General features: G+C 38.2%; 1 protein-coding gene across 5 annotated transcripts in view; it reads right to left on the reverse strand.

Moving 5' to 3' along the window:
• SLC22A25 (solute carrier family 22 member 25) overlaps positions 1 to 20739 on the reverse strand; it is an 85163-nt gene that overhangs the window by 5941 nt on the left and 58483 nt on the right. For 2 of the 5 annotated variants that reach the window (NM_001394059.1, NM_001394058.1), the window contains exons 8-10: positions 19317 to 19440; positions 16283 to 16398; positions 2116 to 3683 (exon numbers count right to left, since the gene is read on the reverse strand). In NM_001394059.1, coding sequence (NP_001380988.1) covers positions 3551 to 3683; positions 16283 to 16398; positions 19317 to 19440 — 373 coding nt within the window. In that variant the 3' untranslated portion in view covers positions 2116 to 3550. Of the gene's footprint in view, positions 1 to 148; positions 258 to 1666; positions 1882 to 2115; positions 3684 to 16282; positions 16399 to 19316; positions 19441 to 19541; positions 19752 to 20739 lie in introns of those variants that run through there. The other 3 variants (NM_199352.6, XM_047426917.1, XM_017017695.2) reach the window with 3 other exon arrangements.

Below are 20739 nucleotides of genomic sequence, written 5' to 3' on the forward strand. Positions count from 1 at the left end.
AAACTTGGGCTGTAATTTGTTGTTTTTATGACTATTACATTTGATTGTTTTTTAACTAACTTGTCTTGGATTTTTTTCCCTTGTTAAGTGTCAATTGGTTGAGACAGGTCCATTTTGAGAATGACAGAGCACACATAAACTTTTGTACCTGATTATGGAAGGAATTAGTTCATTTTCTTGGGCAGTAGAACAGGTAATGCCAAGAGAAGCAGCTCCCACACCCAGGGTTGCCAAAACCACACGCAGGGTCTGCATTTCTGGAGAAAGGAAGACCACAGGGCCTCAGGAAATCTGAGCTGAAGGAATCAGCATCTCCCAAGGTAGAAGTGAAAAGGACTGCTTTGGAGGTGTTTCCAGGGGTAAAATGTACTGTAGGAAAACTGCATAGAGGCAAAGAATGTGCAGTGGCTAATAGCTGAGAAATGTGATTGGCCTACATATTGTGACTTAAATAGTGAATAAAAGGATCTGAGTTGATGCTTCAATTCTCACTATATATCAGGGGTATGCCATAGCAGAAAAGGGAACATTAGAGCTAAAGAGTTTTTTTTTTGTCTCACTTATTCTATCTGGGAACACCTCTGCCCTCCTTGCAGAAAACAGGAGTGTCATGTGGGCAATACTAGGGAGTGTAAGACTCATCCATGTCCTCATAGATTTTAAAACCCAGATATATACACAATATTGACATGGGGCTATGTTTGCAAAAGGCAGTCATAAAAGGACAGGGTTCCTATGTTAAAGGACAGATTGGACAGTATTAATGTTTCAAGGATGAAGAATAAGGACATTTATTGGAGAAAAATATCAGACTTTGGAAACAAATGAAGTGAAGTTTCAGAGGCAGGATTCTATCCAATTAAAACAAAAAGATCATAATTGCCTCATGTCATTGGAGTGGGTTCTGTTGCATTGCACCAGACTGGTATCACTGCTGACATTCAAGAGGAGAACTGGAGCACACCAACCTGGTATTCTCTTAAGTACATTACTAGACCGGGAGTGAGGTGAAGCCTGATGACAACTTGGGTTCCCTTATTTATTGCTTGTGATCATTTAATTTATGAATTCTAAGATTCTAAGAGAAGGTCTTAATTGACAATTGTCTCCTTCCTACTGGACATTTCTGTACATAAAGATACGGGACTTTTGTTTCTTTGAAGTCAAGATGACTCCCCTAAACCAGGATTGCAGTTATGGTGACCTAATACAAGGCACACAGTGGATATGTAGTGATTAGGGAGTACTTTGTCACAGAAGCTGTAGTGGTAAGAAAGAGCCCAGACAGAGGAAATAGCAGTATTGTGTTCTCATATTGGGATACAAAGGCCCAGCACCTCAACACTTACTAAGAGTTTGATTGGCCAAAGGGCAAGTGATCAATTGCTGTCCTAGAGAAACTATCAGGAATAAATGGCACCAACTTCTTACTACTTCTCAAATGTGCTGAAGACAACCATATATCCGAGCCAATCTTACTCATCTTTGACTCATTTCCCAGCAACTTCCGTGTGGCAAAATCTGTCCTAAAGCCCCAGATTTCTATCAGGGAATCCTGAGAACTCAATTCTCCCTTTCCTTCTGGCTTCAGATAGGTGTGACCAGGGCAATCCCTGAGAAAAGAGGGAAAGACATTTTCTTTCTTCCACCTGTGAACTTTTCTCACCTTGAGGCACAAATATGATGGCCAGAAGGCAGGTTGCCAGTAGGAACATGAGAAGCATCTGGCTTAGTCGACGGCTCATGTGATTCAGTGCCCAAGGTGCAACACAATTGGCCAGGAGGGTGACTGCACCAAAGAGAGTCTGCAACAGGAAAACATTGTTTCCCAGATGCTGGAGGTGCAAAGTAAGGCCCCAAAAAGGGATGGTACTTGCAAATCTGCAGGGAACACAGAAAAAGGCACATATTATAATCTGTGGAACCTAAATCCTACAAATGAGAATAATATTGGCCCAGGTAGCCAAGGACTCTTTAAAGTAAAAAGGCAGAGTGTGTTTTGTGGAATATTTTCTTGCAAGTTGATATTTTAAAGTTATCATAAAATAATGGTTAGATGATAGTGGTAACAATTGTATCTTGAGGGACAACAGATGTTGTATGGAGGATGTGCTATGGGGTTTATTTATTTATTTTAAAAGCAATGGATTTTATTAGTATTCTAAAACCAATGTAGCCACATGGCATCAAAAATCACTGCAAAAAAATTCACAGTAATGAAAATATACAATTAAAAATAAAAATGTACTGATGTCAGTCAAACTCACAGTAAAGATCTAAGAAGCCAAAATTTCCATTTGCCACCCTTACAATCAGGAATGTTTACTAAAATGTACAACTTATTGGGTACAGATTGTATATTCATGGCATTCATTCTGTAGATGGTCTTGTGTAGCAAATCTAGATTAGAATAAGAAAACCTATTTTTATATTATGTATATTTAATGGTGTCTAACTTCATTATGGTTTTATTTTTTGGAATAAGAGGTAGTCGATAGAGACAGCTGGCAAGATGGCCGAATAGGAAGAGCTCTGGTCTGCAGCTCCCAGCGAGAGCAATGCGGAAGGTGAGTGATTTCTGCATTTCCAACTGAGGTACCCGGTTCATCTCACTGGGACTGGTTAGACAGCGGGTGGGTGCAGCCCACGGAGGGTAAGCTGAAGCAGGGTGGGGCATCACCTCACCCAGGAAGTCCAAAGGGCCAGGGAACTTCCTCACCTACCCAAGGAAGCCATAGGGACTGTGCTATCCAGCCCAGAAATTATGCTTTTCCCATAGTTTTTGCAACACGCAGACCAGGAGATTCCCTTGTGTGCCAATGCTACCAGGGCCCTGGGTTTCAAGTGCAAAACTAGGTGGCTGTTTGGGGAGACACTGAGCTAGCTGCAGGAGTTTTTTTTTTTTCCCCCAGTGGGACCTGGAACCTCAGTGAGACAGAACCATTCACTCTCCTGGAGAAGGGGCTGATGCCAGAAAGCCAAGTGGTCTCGCTCAGCAGGTCCCACTCCCATGGAGCCCAGCAAGCTAAGAACCACTGGCTTGAAATTCTCACTGCCAGCACATCAGTCTGAGGTCGAACTGGGATGATCAACCTTGGTGGGAGAGGAATGTCCACCATTACTGAGGCTTGTGTAGGCAGTTTTCCCCTCACAGTGTTAAGGAAGCCATTGGGAAGTTCAAACTGTGTGGAACTTACTGCAGTGCTGCAAAGCAACTGTGGCCAGACTGCCTCTCTAGATTCCTCCTCACTGGGCAGGGCATCTCTGAGAGAAAGGCAGCAGCCCCAGTCAAGGGCTTATAGATAAAACTCCCATCACCTGGGACAGAGCACTTTGGGGAAGGGGTGGCTGTGGGTGCAGCTTCAGTGGACTTAAACATTCTTGCTTGCCAGCTCTGAAGAGAGCAGTGGATCTCTCAGCACAGTGCTTGAGCTCTGCTAAGGGATAGACTGCCTCCTTAAGTGGGTCACTAACACCTGTGCCTCCTGACTGGGAGACACTTCCCAGCAGGGGTCAACAGACACTTCATACAGGAGAGCTCTGGCTGGCATCAGGCAGGTGCTCCTCTAAAATGAAGCTTCCAGAGGAAGGAGCAGGCAGGAATCTTTGCTGTTCTGCAACCTCCGCTGGTGATACCCAAGCAAACAGGATCTGGAGTGGACCTCCAGCAAACTCCAGCAGACCTGCAGAAGAGGGACCTGACTGTTAGAAAGAAAACTTACAAACAGAGAGAAGTAACATCAACATCAACAAAAAGGATGCCCCCACAAAAACCCCATCCAAAGGCCATCAGCATCAAAGATCAAAGGTAGATAAATCCATAAAGATGAGGAAAAACCAGTGCAAAAATGCTGAAAATTCCAAAAAACCGAATGCGTCTTCTCCTCCAAATGATGACATTTCTCTCCAGGGAGGGCATTAAACTGGATGGAGAATGAGTTTGACAAATTGACAGAAGTAGGCTTTAGAAGGTGGGTAATAACAAACTCCCCTGAGCTAAAGAAGCATGTTCTAACCCAATGCAAGGAAGTTAAGAACCTTAATAGAAGGTTGCAGGAACTGCTAACTAGTTAACCAGTTTAGAGAAGAACATAAATGACCTGATGGAGCTGAAAAACACAGCACGAGAACTTTGTGAAGCATACACAAGTATCAATAGCTGAATCAATCAAGTGGAAAAAAGGATATGAGAGATTGAAGGTCAATTAAATGAAATAAAGTGTGAAGGAAAGACTAGAGAAAAAAGAATAAAAGGAACAAACCAAGCCTCCAAGAAATATGGGACTCTGTGAAAAGACCAAATCTATGATGGATTGGTGTACCTGAAAGTGACAGGGAGAATAAAAGCAAGTTGGAAATCACATGTCAGGACATTATACAGGAGAACTTCCCCAACCTAGCAAGACAGGCCAACATACAATTTCAGGATATACAGAGAACACCACTTAGATACTCCTTGAGAAGAGCAACACCAAGACACATGATTGTCAGAGTCTTCAAGATTGAAATGAAGGAAAAAAATGTTAAGGGCAGCCACAGAGGAAGGTCAGGTTACCTACAAAGGAAAGTCCATCAGACTAACAGTGGATCTCTCTGCAAAAACCCTACAATCCAGAAGAGAGTGAATGCCAATATTCAACATTCTTAAAATAAAAGAATTTTCAACCCAGAATTTCATATACAGCCAAACTAAGCTTCATAAGCAAAGGAGAAATAAAATTCTTTCCAGACAAGTAAATGCTGAGGGATTTTGTCACCAGCAGGCCTGCCTTACAAGAGCTCCTGAAGGAAGCACTAAATATGGGAAGGAAATACTGGTACCAACCACTGCAAAAACATACCAAAATATAAAGACCAATGATGCTATGTAGAAACTGCATCAACTAATGTGCAAACTAAGCAGCTAACATCATGATGACAGGATCAAATTAAACATAACAATGTTAACCTTAAATGTAAATGGGCTAAATGCCCCAATTAAAAGACACAGACTGGCAAATTGCATAGAGTCAAGACCCACTGGTGTGCTGTATTCAGGAGACCTATCTCATGTGCAAAGACACACATAGGTTCAAAATAAAGGGATAAAGAAATATTTACCAAGCAAAGAGAAAGAAAAAAAAGCAGGGATTGCAATCCTATTCTCTGATAAAACAGAGTTTAAGCCAACAGAAATCAAAGAAGACAAAGAAGGGCATTACATAATGATAAAGGAATCAATGCAACAAGAAGAGCTAACTATCCTAAATATATACACACACAACACAGGAGCACCCAGATTCATAAAGCAAGTTATTAGAGACCTACAAAGAGGCTTAGATTCCTACGCAATAATAGTAGGAGACTTTAACATCCCACTGTCAATATTAGATCAACTAGACAGAAAATCAACAAGGATATTCAGGACTTGAACTCAACTCTGGACCAAGTGGATCTCTAATAGACATCTACAGAACTCTCTACCCCAAATCAACAGAATATACATTCTTCTCAGCACCACATCGCACTTATTCTAAAATTGATCACATAATTGGAAGTAAAACACTCCTCAGCAAGTGCAAAAGAACAGAAATCATAACAAACAAGTCTCTCAGACCACAGTGCAATCAAATTAGAACTCAGGATTAAGAAACTCATTCAAAACCACTCAACTACGTGGAAACTGAACAACCTGCTCCTGAATGACTACTGGGTAAATAATGAAGTAAAGACAGAAATAAAGAAGTTATTTGAAACGAATGAGAACAAAGACAAAATGTATGAGAATCTCTGGGACACAGCAAAAGCAGTATTAAGAGGGATTTTACAGCACTAAGTGCCCACATCAGAAAGCGAGAAAGATCTAAAATCGATACCCTAACATCACAATTAAAATAACTAGAGAAGTAAGAGTGAACAAATTGAAGAAAAGCTAGGCAAAGACAAGAAATAACTAAGATGAGAGCAGAACAGAAGGAGACAGAGACACAAAACCACTCATAAAAATCAATGAATCCAGGAACCAGTTTACTGAAAAGATCAACAAAATAAATAGACTGCTAGCAAGACTAATAAAGAAGAAAAGAGAGAAGAATAAAATAGACACAATAAAAAATGATATAGGGGATATCACCGCTAACCCCACAGAAATACAAACTACCGTCAGAGAATACTATAAACACCTCACACAAATAAACTAAAAATCCAGAAGAAATGGATAAATTCCTGGACATATACACCCTCCCAAGACTAAACCAGGAAGAAGTTGAATCCCTGAATAGACCAATAACAAGTTCTGAAATTGAGGCAGTAAATAATAGCCTACCAACTCAAAAAGCCCAGGACCAGATGGATTCACACCTGAATTCTCCCAGAGGTGCAAAGAGGAGTTGGAACAATTCCTTCTGAAAATTCTTCAAATAATAGAAAAAGAGGGACTCCTCCCTAACATATTTTATGAGGCCAGCATTATCCTGATACCAAAACCTGGCAGAGACACAACCAGAAAAGAAAATTTCAGGCCAATATCCCTGATGAACATCAATGCAAAAATCCTCAGCACAATACTGGCAAACTGAATCCAGCAGCACATCAAAAGCTTATCCACCACGATTAAGTAGGCTTTATCCCTGGGATGCAAGGCTGGTCCAACATAGAAAAATCAATAAATATAATCCATCACGTAAACAGAATCAATGACAATAGCCACACGATTATCTCAATAGATGCAGAAAAGACCTTCAATCAAATTCAACACCCTTCATGGTAAACTACTCAATAAACTAGGTATAGATGGAACATATCTCAAAATAATAAGAGCTATTTATGACAAACCCATAGCCAATATCATACAGAATGGGCAAAAGCTGGAAGCGTTCCCTTTGAAAACTGGCACAAGACAAGAATGCCCTCTCTCACCACTCCTATTCAACATAGTATTGGAAGTTCTGGCCACGGTAACCAGGCAAGAGAAGGAAATGAAGGGTATTCAAATAGGAAGAGAAGAAGTCAAATTGTCTCTGCAGATGACATGATTGTATATTTAGAAAACCCCATCATCTCAGCCCCAAAACTCCTTAAGCTGATAAGCAACTTCAGCAAAGTCTCAGAATACAAAATCAATGTGCAAAAATCACAAGCATTCCTATTCATCAACAATAGACAAACAGAGAGCCAAATCATGAATGAACTCCCATTCACAATTGCTACAAAGAAAATAAAATACCTAAGAATACAACTTACAAGGGACGTGAAGGAGCTCTTCAAGGAGAACTACAAACCACTGCACAAGGAAATAAGAGAGGACACAAACAAATGGAAAAACATTCCATGCTCATGGATAGAAAGAATCAATATCATGAAAATGGCCATATTGCCCAAAGCAATTTATAGATTCAATGCTATTCCTCAAGCTAACATTGACTTTTTTTGCAGAACTAGAAAAAACTACTTTAAATTTCACATGGATTTTAAAAAAGCTTGTATAGCCAAGACAATGCTAAGCAAAAAGAACAAAGCTGGAGGCATCATACTGCCTGACTTCAAATATACTACAAGGCTAAAGTAATCAAAACTGCATGGTACTGGCACCAAATCAGATACATAGACCAATGGAGCGAACAGAAATAACACCACACATCTACTACCATCTCGTCTTTGACAAACCTGACACAAATGAGCAATGGGGAAAGGATATCCTATTTAATAAATGGTGCTGGGAAAACTGGCTAGCCATATGCAGAAAACTGAAACTGGACCCCTTCCTTACACCTTATACAAAAATTAACTCAAGATGGATAAAAGACTTAAATATAATACCTAAAACCATAAAACCCCTAGAAGACAACTTAGGCAATACCATTTGGGACATAGGCACAGGCAAAGACTTCAGGACTAAAACACCAAAAGCAATTGCAACAAAAGCCAAAATTGACAACTGGGATCTAATTAAACTAAAGAGCTTCTGCACAGCAAAAGAAACTATCATCAGAGTGAACAGGCAACCTACAGAATGGGATAAATTTTTGCCATCTATACATCTGACAAAGTTCTAATATCTGGAATCTACAAGGAACTAATCAAATTTACAAGAAAAAAATCCCATCAAAAAGTGGGCAAATGATGTGAACAGACACTTCTCAAAATAAGACATTTATGTGGCCAACAAACATATGAAAAAAAGCTCATCATCACTGGTCATCAGACAAATGCAAATCGAAACCACATCGAGATACCATCTCATGCCAGTTTGAAGAGGAGCTAGGTGTGGGTGTTTTCAGTGCCTTTCACAGGATACCTTTTTTTTTTTTTTTTTTTAACCTGGTGGATAGCCTAATGTGATCCTTAAAAAGTTAGGAAACAACAGATGCTGAAGAGGATGTGGAGAAATAGAAACAATTTTACACTGTTGGTGGGAGTGTAAATTAGTTCAACCATGTGGAAGACAGTGTGTTGATTCATCATGGATTTAGAAAAAGAAATACCATTGGACCCAGCAATCCAATTACTGGGTATATTATTCAAAGGATTAGAAATCATTCTACTATAAGGACACATGCACATGTATGTTTACTGCAGCACTATTCACAATAGCATAGACTTGGAACCAACCCAAATGCCCATCAATGATAGACTGGATAAAGAAAATGTGGCACATATACAGCATGGAATACTATGCAGCCATAAAAAAAGATGAGTTCCTGTCCCTAACAGGGACATGGATGAAGCTGGAAACCATCATTCTCAGCAAACTAACACAGGATCAGTAAAGCAAACAACACAGGTTTTCACTCATAAGTGGGAACTGAACAATGGGAACACATGGACACAGGGAGGGAGACATCACACACTGGGGCCTGTTGGGGGTGGGGGGCAAGGGGTGGGAGAGCATTGGGACAAATACCTAATGCATACATGGTTTAAAACCTAGATAATGGGTTGATGGGTGCAGAAAACCACCATGGCACATGTATACCAATGTAACAAACCTGTATGTTCTGCACATGTATCCCAGAACTTAAAGTATAATTTTAAAAAAGAGGCAGTCAATAAACTTTAATTATATATTCAACATACATTTGTATCTCATTGTAGTGAATACTTATAATTTTATGTTATGTCAGCATCCATTTTGAATTCAAGTTTAACTTTCTTATACCAGAGGCAGGGCTCAGTCACCCTTGACACAGTTTCCATTTCTATGCCACTCCCAAATGGCCAGAGAGAAAAACTTGGAGCCATCTCTCCTGCCTAGCAGATTGGGTTTGTGACTTTCCCAGTGCTTCTTGTAAGTGTACAATTCAGGCATTTGCCTGGAAGCTCTAAGTGACCCACAACCTACTTCCTTATGTATACTGCTCACTGCCATGTACATTTCTCTCTCTGTGCATGATTCTTTATTTCTGCATCATGTGATCTGGTGATCCTTACCCAGGATCTGTAAGTAGACATCCTTGAACTTGTTTCCTTTTGTTCAGTGCATTGAATTTATGCTTTCCATTGGAAGAACTAGGGGCTAGCTATTCAAGGTTGGATTTTCTTTTCTTTTTTTTTTTTTTTATTACATTTTAAGTTCTGGGATACATGTGCAGAACGTGCCTTTTTGTTACATAGGTATACAAGTGCCATGGTGGTTTGCTGCACCCATCAACTCATCACCTACATTAGGTATTTCTCCTAATGTTATCCCTCCCCTAACCCACCACCCCCTGACAGGCCCTGGTGTGTGATGTTCGCCTCCCTGTGTCCATGTGTTCTCATTGTTCAACTCCCACTTATCAGTGAGAACACACGGTGTTTGGTTTTCTGATCTTGTGAGTTTGCTGAGAATGAGATGGTTTCCAGCTTCATCCATGTCCCTGCAAAGGACATGAACTCATCCTTTTTTATGGCTGCATAGTATTCCATGGTGTATATGTGCCACATTTTCTTAATCTAGTCTATCAAGGTTGGATTTTCTCTAGGATAGCAATGAGAACACAAGATTGGGCTCCCAGTGGCAGAGCAATGGTCAGGCAGGCATAAATTGCACATAGATCAGATAAGAACCACAATGGCATATGCCAGTCTAAGCTATTTTCCTGTGTGACTACCTAGTTGTCCAAACCTTCCTAGTTATGGTTTGGACAACTAGGCACTAGCTGTCCACCAGGTAAAACACGTATCCTGTGAAAGGCACTGAAATCACCCACGTCTAGTTCCTCTTCTTTTTCCCTTAGGGCAGGCTTGCCAGTCACTCAGATACTGAAATCCCAGTTTAGCTGGGAACTCTCAAAACACCTATTTACTTTTTAAAACTGTGGTAAAAATGCATAACACGAGTTCTGCCCTGTTAACAAATTTTTAAGTGTACAGTAAAATATTCTTAACTGTATGCATAATGTTGCACAGCATCTTGCGTAACTGACACTTTATGCCCATTAAATGGGAACTTCCTATTTCCCTCTGCCCTCTGCCCCAGGAAACTATGATTCTACTTTCTGCTTCTATAAATTTGATTATTTTAGATATCTCATATAAGGGGAATTGGCGGTGTTTGTCCTTCTGTCCTGGCATATTTAACTTAGCATAATGTCCTCAAGTTTCAAACATGTTGGATATGACATTTTTCTTTCCATGGCTGACTAATATTCCATCATGAGTACGTACCACATTTTACTTATCCATATGTCAATGGACATTTAAGTTGCTTCTACATCTTGGCAATTATGAATAATGTTGCAATGAACATGGGAGTGCAAATATCTCTTCCCAATCCTGATTTCAATTGTTTCTTTGAAAAACTGAGATCCTAGAAGTAGGATTGGTGAATCATATGGTAGTCCTACTGCTTTCCATAGGGGCTATACTATTTACATTTTCACTAACAGTGTACAATGGTTCCAATTTTTCCACATTCTTGCCAACAGTTATTATCTCTTATTTATTTATTCAATTTATTTATGATAATGTCCTAACAGATTTGAAGTAATATCTGATTGTAGTTTTGACTTGCATGTTCCTGACTAGTGATTTTGAGCACATTTTCCATTGGCCATTTGTATGGCTTCTTTGGAAAAATGTCTAGTCAAGTCCTTTGCTTATTTTGTGATTGGACTACTTGCATTCATGGTAGTGAGTTGTAGGTTTTCCTAATATATTTTGGATATTAACTCATATCAGATATGTGGTTGGCAAATATTTTCCCTCATTCTGAAGGCTGCCTTTTCATTCTATTATTTCCTTTGCTGTGCAGAAGCTTTCTAGTTTGATGTCCTATTTGTATATTTTTCCTTTCATCGTTTGTGCTTTTGGCATCATATCCATGAAATAATTGCCAAAACTAATGTCATGAAGCTTTTCACCTATGTTTTCTTCTAGGATTTTGATAGTTTCAGGTCTCATGTTAAGTCTTGAATCCATTTTCAGTTGATTTTTGTGTGTGCTATAAGGAAAGGGTTCAATTTCATTTAATAAAGAAAATTGGGTGTGTATATATATATATACACATTTTAATAAAGTGAAACCCTTTCCTTATAGCACATAACCCTTTCCTGATAGCACAGTAAAATGAAATTGAATCCTTTCCTTATGGCACATATATGTGGATATGTAGTTGCTTAGCACCATTTGCTGAAGAAACTATCTTTTTCTATTGTGTATCTTTGTCACCCCCACAAAGATCAGTTGACTGTATATGCATGGATTGATTTCTGCATTCTCCATTCTGTTCCATTGGTCTAAATGTCCATCTTTATGCAAGTACCATAGTGTTTTAAACTACTGTTGCTTTGCAATATGTTTTGAAATCAGGTGGTTGTGGCCTTTAGCATTGTTCTTCTTTCTCAAGGTAGTTTTATCTATTCTAAAATTTGTATGGTTCCCATAGGATTTTAGGATTTTTTTCTATTTCTGTAAAATAATGCCGCTGAGATTTTGATAGGGATTGCACTGAATCTTCAGATTACTTTGAGTAGCATGAACATTTAATAATATAAAGCTTTGCCATTCATGCATATATCTTTTCATTCATCTTTGTTTTGTTTATTTCATCAATGTTTTGTAGTTTTCAGTGTACAAGTCTTTTGCCTCCTTGGTTAAGTTTATTCCTAAGTATTTTCTTCCTTTTTATGGTATTATAAATGAGATTGCTTCTTAATCTCATTTTTGGATAGTTTGTTGTTAGTGTATAAAAACACAACTGATTTTTAAGTGCATTTTGTATCCTTCAACTAGATTGCATTTGTTTATTAGCTCTAAAATTTTTGTGTGTGTAATCTTTAGGATTTTTACCTCTAAGATCATATAACCAGTGAGTAGAGCTTAGTTTACTTCTACCTTTCCTATTTAGATGCTTTTAATCTGTTTTTCTTCCCTAACTGCTCTGGTTAGCACTTTAAGTACTATATTAAATAGAAGTGGTGACTCATTCTTGATGTTAAAGGAAGAGCTTTCAGTTTTTCATCGAGTATGATGTTAGCTCTGGACTTCTCATAGTTTCCTTTACCAGTAAGCCTTATACTTTAATATGCTCTCGTGTTGCTCATTAGGGTTCTTTGTTTAAACATGAAGGGTTCCCTTTAACATTTCTTATAATGCAGATCTAGTGTTGACAGATTCACTCAGTTTTTGTTTGTCTGGGAAACTCTTTATTTCTCTTCATTTTTGAAGGCCAGTTTGCTGGATATAATACTTTTTGTTGGCAGTTTTCATCTCTAAATATATCATCATACTTTCTGTTGGCCTGTAAACTTTCTGTGGGAAAACAAACCAAAGTCTTATGGAGGTTCTCTTAGTACAAGACAAGTCACTTCTCTTGCTGCTTTCAAAATTCTTTTCTTTTGATAATTTTATTATAAAATGTCTAGATGTGAATTTTTTAAATTTTTAATGTTTATGGATACATGATAATTATACATATTTATGAGGCACTGTGATATTTTGATATATTCATACAGTATATAATGATAAAACCTGGGTAATTGGGATATCCATTATCTCACACATTCATCATTTGAGTGTGTGTGTGTGTGTGTGTGTGTGTGTGTGTGTCGAGAACATTTTAAATATACTCTTCTGGCTATTTTGAAATATACAATAACTTTATTGTTAACTAAAGTCACCTATAGTCAACTATAACTATTGTTTTACTGAAAACTAGATCTTATTTTTTCTATATAACTGTATTTTTGTACCCATTAGCTCATCCTTCTTAATACCCTTTCCCCAGTACCCTTCCCAGCTTCTGGTAGCCACCATTTCACTTATTACCACCAGGAGATAAATTTTTTAGCTCTCACATATGAGTGAGAACATGCAATATTTGTCTTTTGGTGCCTGGATAATTTAACTTAAAATAATGTCCTCCAATTCCATCCATGTTGTTGTAAATGACAGGAATGTATTATTTTTATGGCTGAATAATATTCCATTATATCTATTTCTCTCTACATATCCGATTATATATATATCCAAATACATATATATAATGTATATATATAATGTGTATATATATATAATGTATATATATAATATATATAATGTATATATATAATATATATATATAATGTATATCCCATTTTCTTTTTTTTTGACAGGGTCTCACTCTGTCTTAAAAGTGACACTCCACCTCCTTGGGCTCAAGCTATCCTCCCATCTCAGCCTCCAGAGTAACTGGGACTACACATATGTGCCACCATGCCTGGCTAATTTTTTGTATTTTTATTTATTTTTTTTTTTGCAGAGTCAGGGTTTTGCCATGTTACTCAGGCTGATCTGAACTTCTGGACTCAAGCAATCCATCCACCTTGGCCTCCCAAAATTCTGGGATTACAGGTGTGGGCCACCACGCCCTGCCAATATACCCCATTTTCTTTATACAGCCATTGATAAACATTTAGGTTGATACCATATCTTGGCTTTTGGGAATACTGCTGCAAAAAACATAGAAGTGCAGATATCTCTTCAATATGCTGATTTTCTACCTTTGCATATATATCCAAAAGTGAGACTGCTGGATAATATGGTATTTCCATTTTTAATCTTTTCACAAAATTTTATATTGTTTTGCATAGTGGCTGTACTGATTTATATTCCCACCAACAGTGTGCAAACATCCCCCTCTATATGCATCTTCCCCAGCATTTTTTTTTTTGTCTTTTTGATAATATTTTAACTGGGGTGAAATAATATCTTATTGTGGTTTTAATTTACATTTTTTCTGGTGATTAACTGTATTGAGCATTTTTTATACTTGTTGGTCATTTGTATATCTTATTTTAAGAAATGTCTATTCAGGTATCTTGCCCATTTAAAAATAAGCTTATTTGTTTTTTTGCTACTGAGTTGTTTATGTTCCTTATAGGTTTGATTTATTAATCCCTTGTCGGTTGAATAGTTTGCAATTTTTTTTCTATTCTGTAGGTTGTTTCTCCACTTTGTTGATTGTTTTCCTTTGTTGTGCAGAAGATTTTTAGCTTGATGTAATTCCATTTGTCATTTTTTTTGCTTTGTTTGCCTGTGCTTTTGACTTTTTACTCAAGAAAACTTTGCTAATAGCAATGTCCTAAAGGATTTCCTCAATGCTTTCTTCTAGTATTATCATAGTTTTAGGTCTTACATTTAAGTCTGTAATTTTTTTTTTTTTGAAATGGGGTTTTGCTCTGTCACCCAGGCTGGAGTGCAGTGGTGCAATCTTGGCTCACTGCAACCTCCACTTCGTGGGTTGAAGCAATTCTGGTGCTTCAGCCTCCTGAGTAGCTGGGATTACAGGGCCATGATGCCCGGCTAATTTTTGTAATTTTAGTAGAGATGGGTTTCACCATGTTTGGCCAGGCTGGTCTTGAACTCCTGACCTCAGGTGATCCGCCTGCCTCAGGCTCTCAAAATGCTGGAATTACAGGCATGAGCCACTGTGCCTGGTCTATATCTCTCCATTTCTTTATGATCAGTTTCTTAAGATTTATTTTGTTCCCTTTTGTGTCATATTTCTCTGTTTCTTCGTGTTCTTTGTAGCTTTGCATTGGTATCTATACATTTGAAGAAATAGCCACCTCTTCCTGTCTTCCCAGACTGGCTTTTACAATCAGCCCAGATAGAGATTCTGGGGACCTTCAATTCTACTCTGTGAAAGTATCTTCTCTGTATTTGTGCATGTAGATTCCTAATTAGAGGGATTTCCTGGTTTCTGTTTTTCAGGAACTGGCAATCTCTTGCTTTCTGTGGTATCTGTCTGCCATACCATGAGTCCTCTGATGTAGCAGCTTAACACCCAGCTGTCTTTGTTCTCAGTAGTTCTGAGGCATCTAGAGTGCGTGTGGGGTCCTACTGGCATAATGGTTGGGCTAGAAAAAAACTAATTTCTTGGGCAGCTCCCTGGAAAATCAGTATATCAGACACATACTGAGCTCCTTTCCCTCCTGAGGGAGAAATCTCAAGTTGTGCATATTCTTTTCATTGCACTGAGCTGTGTGAGTCACAGCTTTCTTTTGTACTCACTTTGTCCTCAGTGACCTTAGGCATCCAAATATGCCAGTTCCATCAGTGCTCTGAGTGAGGGGAGACAGAGACCAGTTCCTCACACAGTGTGTCCAAAGGCCAAGGTGTGGCTGAATGCTCTACTCTTTCCTTCCCTGTGAGGGAAAAGTCATAGGCCAGGGTGTCCTCTCTTGGCATGAGCTGTAACAACTTTGGGAAGGGGTTGTCATGTATAAACTGACATTACTCTTCTTGCCCATTTCAGTGCAACTGTTTTTGGTTTCGTGCTCATCTGGGGCATTACAATGTCTTGTCTCAGTTTTGAAATTCTCATAGAAGTATTTTTGTCCAGTCATTATTTAATCAGTGTTTCTGTGTGCGGTTGAGGGGTAGGATTTTCTGTTACGTCATCTTGCTGAACTTGTGATCATTTCCCAGTGTTTTAGAATTTTTTCTATACCTTGATCTGAGTGGTAGCTAGATATTAATAACTGGTAATATTCATTGATCTGTGTACATTCATATGATTTGCTGTTTATAAATTAGCTCAATTAAAATGGAAACAAATGAAGAAACTTTGAGTCTAAACCTATACTATAATTGAAGTTCTTAGCATAAGTCTCCACTGATGAGCCTGGTAGAATGATGTTATAAACAGAAATTGTGTAATTAATTCTGTGTCAGCCTTTTCATAACCCTTTTACCACTTTTAAAAATAGCAATTCTCTTTATGGATTTATCATCTTTTATCCCCCAAATATTTTCCTTCAACATGTTGTATCATTTGAAATAAGAAATGGATTTATGTCTCCTCTATTTTAACATTCCTCACACACTGCATGAAACTTACCTCACAAAGGACAGGAAACAGATTCTTTTACATATGTTGGGTATGCGGAGCAATTCACAAAGAGAATGCTTTTTCTGTGCTGCCTCCAGTTCTTGCTTCATGGTGGATTTCAAAACCTTCAACAACAACAGAAGCAATAAACTGTTCAGTTGTCACAAAATGGTAGGCATTGTAAGAGGACTTGTCAACCAACAGATGACAAGATAGATGACATCCCTTTCTGTCTAGCAGAAAATACATGGCTTAAAAATGCAATGGCAAATATAAAAGTGGTATGGAAGTTAGAATAGAGAGTTAAAGAAGCCTCAGAGAAATTATTTATCAAGGCTATTTTAGACAAGAGATTTAATTGGCTGCAGAGCATTGAAAAGAATATGTAGGTTAGAGATTCAGATCAGGATGGGGAAAAAAATGAAGAGTTACTTGGATTAAACTCCAAAGCTCCATTTATACCAGATGGGCCCCAAAGACCTGGTTCTCAGCTGAACTGCCTTTGGTGAAAAACAGTTTGCCTGCCTCAGGAAAGAGATAAATTTCCTGAGAGAGTTTATTTTGGTTCTTGTTTCAGAAATGCTGGAGGTTTGGGAGTGGGGTACTTTCTTCCTAACCCTTATGTTTTATTATTATACTTTAAGTTTTAGGGTACATGATATACATGTGCCATGTTGGTGTGCTGCACCCATTAACTCGTCATTTAGCATTAGGTATATCTCCTAATGCTATCCTTCCCCCCTCCCCCCACCCCACAACAGTCCTGGTGTGTGATGTTCCCCTTCCTGTGTCCATGTGTTCTCATTGTTCAATTCCCACCTATGAGTGAGAACATGCGGTGTTAGTTTTTTTGTCCTTGCGATAGTTTGATGAGAATGATGGATGAAGCTGGAAACTAACCCTTATGTTTCTGTGAAGAACAAGTTTCAACAGGGATAATCTTGGTCCCTCTCCACATACCCTAAGTTGTCTGTGGAGGACTATGGTATTGTTGGTGAGTGTGGGAGAATGAGACAGGCATGCTGTAGTGCCCAGAACACGTTTAGAAAGAGATTGCATTCAAGTCTGCTTTCTGGGCCACATCCTATATTTATCAGGTTAGGCTCTGCACCTCTGGGAAAACCTGTGACTGGTGAGTAAGCTTAATTCTGGGATGAAGTGTTAGAAATCCTGTTGAGGCAAGGTACGTGAAGTCATGTCTTCTATTCCAGTTTTCTCAGTAGTACAAATGCTAAAAATTTTGATCTCCATGTTTCTGAACCCTTTAACTATCTCTCAGTTATGTGTGGTTTGGGCATAGGAGATGAATGTTACGTACTGAACTCGCTGACCACTAAAATTAGACTGATCAACGGATTGCTATTGACATAAAGTGGATTTGCTTTAGGCTAGAAGGGCTTCCTAGAGTAGGTGTGTTAAGCAGTCTGTCAGATGGAGGTTGAAACAGGAATAAGACCACACACATATGGATAATATTTACAAAATAAAAAAATCAAGTTAACACAATATTAGGTACCCATTCATGCATAGAATCCACATCCTAAACCAATTGCTCTTTTTGAGCAACACTGGCCTTCCTCTGGGTGCTGAGGGGACAGTCAGTTGCCATTCACTTTGAGATAATGCATTGCTATTTTTTGGATTCTACTGTTTTTTGTAACACTTAATTGTTGTTGTTGTTGTCGTTGTTTTGAATCTCCCTGAACTTCTGTAAGAGTAGCTTTTATTTTCTTATTGGGCCAACCTTGTAGGTCACATGCTAGGTGTGTGTGTATGAAACCACAGATAGCATCTGAGAATTCAGTTGACCCAAAAGAATTACACTATATATATATATATATTCTCTCTATATATTCTTTATATATATTTAGATACAGTCTAGAAATGACATTCAGTTCCATCTGAATTTCAACATTTCCTTTTTAAAAAAAATGCTATGCCAATATTTTCACTATTCTATTGGGATGCCTGTGCTATTGTCTCTGCAATGGGTTCATCTCTGTGGGAAATATTTATTTCTTCCTGCCACCTTCTGTTGAACGTTAACTCACAGGAAGATTTTCAGGCTTCTTATTTCAAATCTCCTTTTGAAGGAGCTGTGCTTCCTTCTGGGACTAAGTTCCATCAGATATGTCATTGACCATGTCTTAAGAGATGTTTTATTCATTCTCTCTGATTAACTAGCTCCTAGTCCTCTCCTGTTTCAGTAAAATAAGGTAAAATGTATTTTTCTTGTCTTCATTAACATTCTTTCTATACTTTTATAATTTCCAACACTTAGATTTAAACATGTCCATTAGTTCTCCTCTCTCATATTAAAGTAAAAGCTCCATTCAGGCTGTGACCCTGACTTCCTCTGTCATTCATGACCTAGTACCATTTGTGGCATACTATAATTTTTTGATAAATACTTTACATTTACTTAATAATCCATGGGGTGGAAAAAAAGATAAAGACTTCCCCCAGGCATTTCCACTCAGCCATGCTTTAAAGCTTATAGTAAGTAGAAGAAACTCCATACAAATATAGATTTGGACTGGTGTTGGTACTGTCATATTTCCAAGAAAGAATGAAATCTTGAACAGGTAGGCACTCACTAAATATATCTTGAATGAAAGAATATATGACAGAGTGAACAAATAAGTGAACCTCCTTATGTTCTATTCTGTTTGCTCCCTAATCCTTCCTTCCTCTGTCCTTATTACCCTGAAAGAAGGCCACAGAATAATAACTGGGAAGTAATGAACTAATTTAGGTTACTTTCTATTATGGAGTTAGAGTGAGTCCAGTGCAAAATTTGCATTGTTAACACTCTGTGCCTCTGCCTCTGTTGAGTAAAATATCTGTGTCCCATCCTTTCAGCAACAGGATATTCTCTTTCAATGTTAATCCAATGTTGACACCCATTGAGAATGATCGTGAGGTGAGATGACCCATAACTCTACCTGTGTTTCTCTCCTTTATTCACCTTATGAACACCAACAAGTATAGATGACAATTTATGTCTTCCCAGCATCCCATATCCAGCTCCCGTCTTGCTTACCTCCATGGTTAGGATGTCTTCAGCATTCTTCATTCCATTCCTGTGTGCAGCTTTTCTAAGTTCCTTTAAGCCCTCTTCTGGTTTGTTGTTGATAATGAGCCACCGAGCAGACTCTGCCAGCCACCTGAGCAAAGAAGAGGACAGAGGTGCAGCCAACCACTACTTACTCATTTTTTCACATAACATTTATCCTGAGATGCCTTTCCCCTCTAAGCTAATACCCACCTCTTGTTTGGTTATACCAGGAAATAAAAGCCTACATTCTCTTGTGCCATCACCAGGAAAATGTAAGGGTGACTCTCTGTGCAGTACACATTCACTGTTGGGATAAACACTTGAGTCATATTGGCATCCCTCTTATTCAGCAAATTTGTCATGGAGCTCCTGATGCTGAAGCATGAGGAATCATCACTTGTACAGATGCCTGCCAAGGTCCTAGTAAGGGCATAACAAATGTCTATTCATAATGTGTTCTTTTTCCTAAAGTAAAGACCCTGAAATAATTGATGTATGCTTGAGGCCTCATAGAGACTAGATTCATTTCTGGCCATACCATCTATGACCAAAACTGGATATATTAGCAAGTCATTTACCTAAATCTTCCTCAGTTTGCTCATCTATGTAAATGGGACAATGTTATCATGTATGATTGTTACAGAGATAAGAGGAACTAATGGATGAGCCTGACAAGGAGTACACTTTCTCTCTATCTGAACTTTCTCTCTGTATTAAATCTGTAATTATCTCTCTGAGGTAAAGACCAAATAGGCTTCCTCCACTGAACTGATTTTGTTAAGGGAAGGGGTATAGTTAATCATACATTAGGGTTTGTAAAGTAAATAGAAGGAAGAGAGAGCACAGGACAAGATGTAAATTGTTCGTTTTGCCTTTATGTTTTTAACTGGAGCAACTATGCAGTTCTTAGAAATGTATACAGGTAAATTGATGTCCCTTCCTATCATCCAATATCACCTACGACAATTAAAAGCATCTCAAACTTTATCACAAATTTCTTTATAGGGATGTACATATAAACATAGATCACAATTAAGGATATCTACTCAAATATTTTCCTCTATTGGAGAAAACATTTTTGTAATAATTCTGTTTCTACAATACTTGTTAAGGAAAGGATGGTCAGGAACATGAATAACTCCCAGGCAATGATTTATTGCTATGTCCTGTCTTATGGGTTATTGGTTTAGCAAATGAAAACGCAGTAGTGATGGCTGACATGACAGAAGCAGAATTCAGAATATGGATAGGAATGAAGTTCACTGAGCTACAGGAGTACACTGTAACCCAATGCAAGGAAGCTAAAAATCATGTAACACATTGCAGGACCTGACAGACAAAATATCATAGAGTAGAACGTAACTGACCTGATAAAGCTGAAAAACACGCTACAAGAATTTCATAATGC

Source organism: Homo sapiens, chromosome 11 (genome assembly GCF_000001405.40).
Source record: "Homo sapiens chromosome 11, GRCh38.p14 Primary Assembly".
Lineage (NCBI taxonomy): Eukaryota > Metazoa > Chordata > Mammalia > Primates > Hominidae > Homo > Homo sapiens.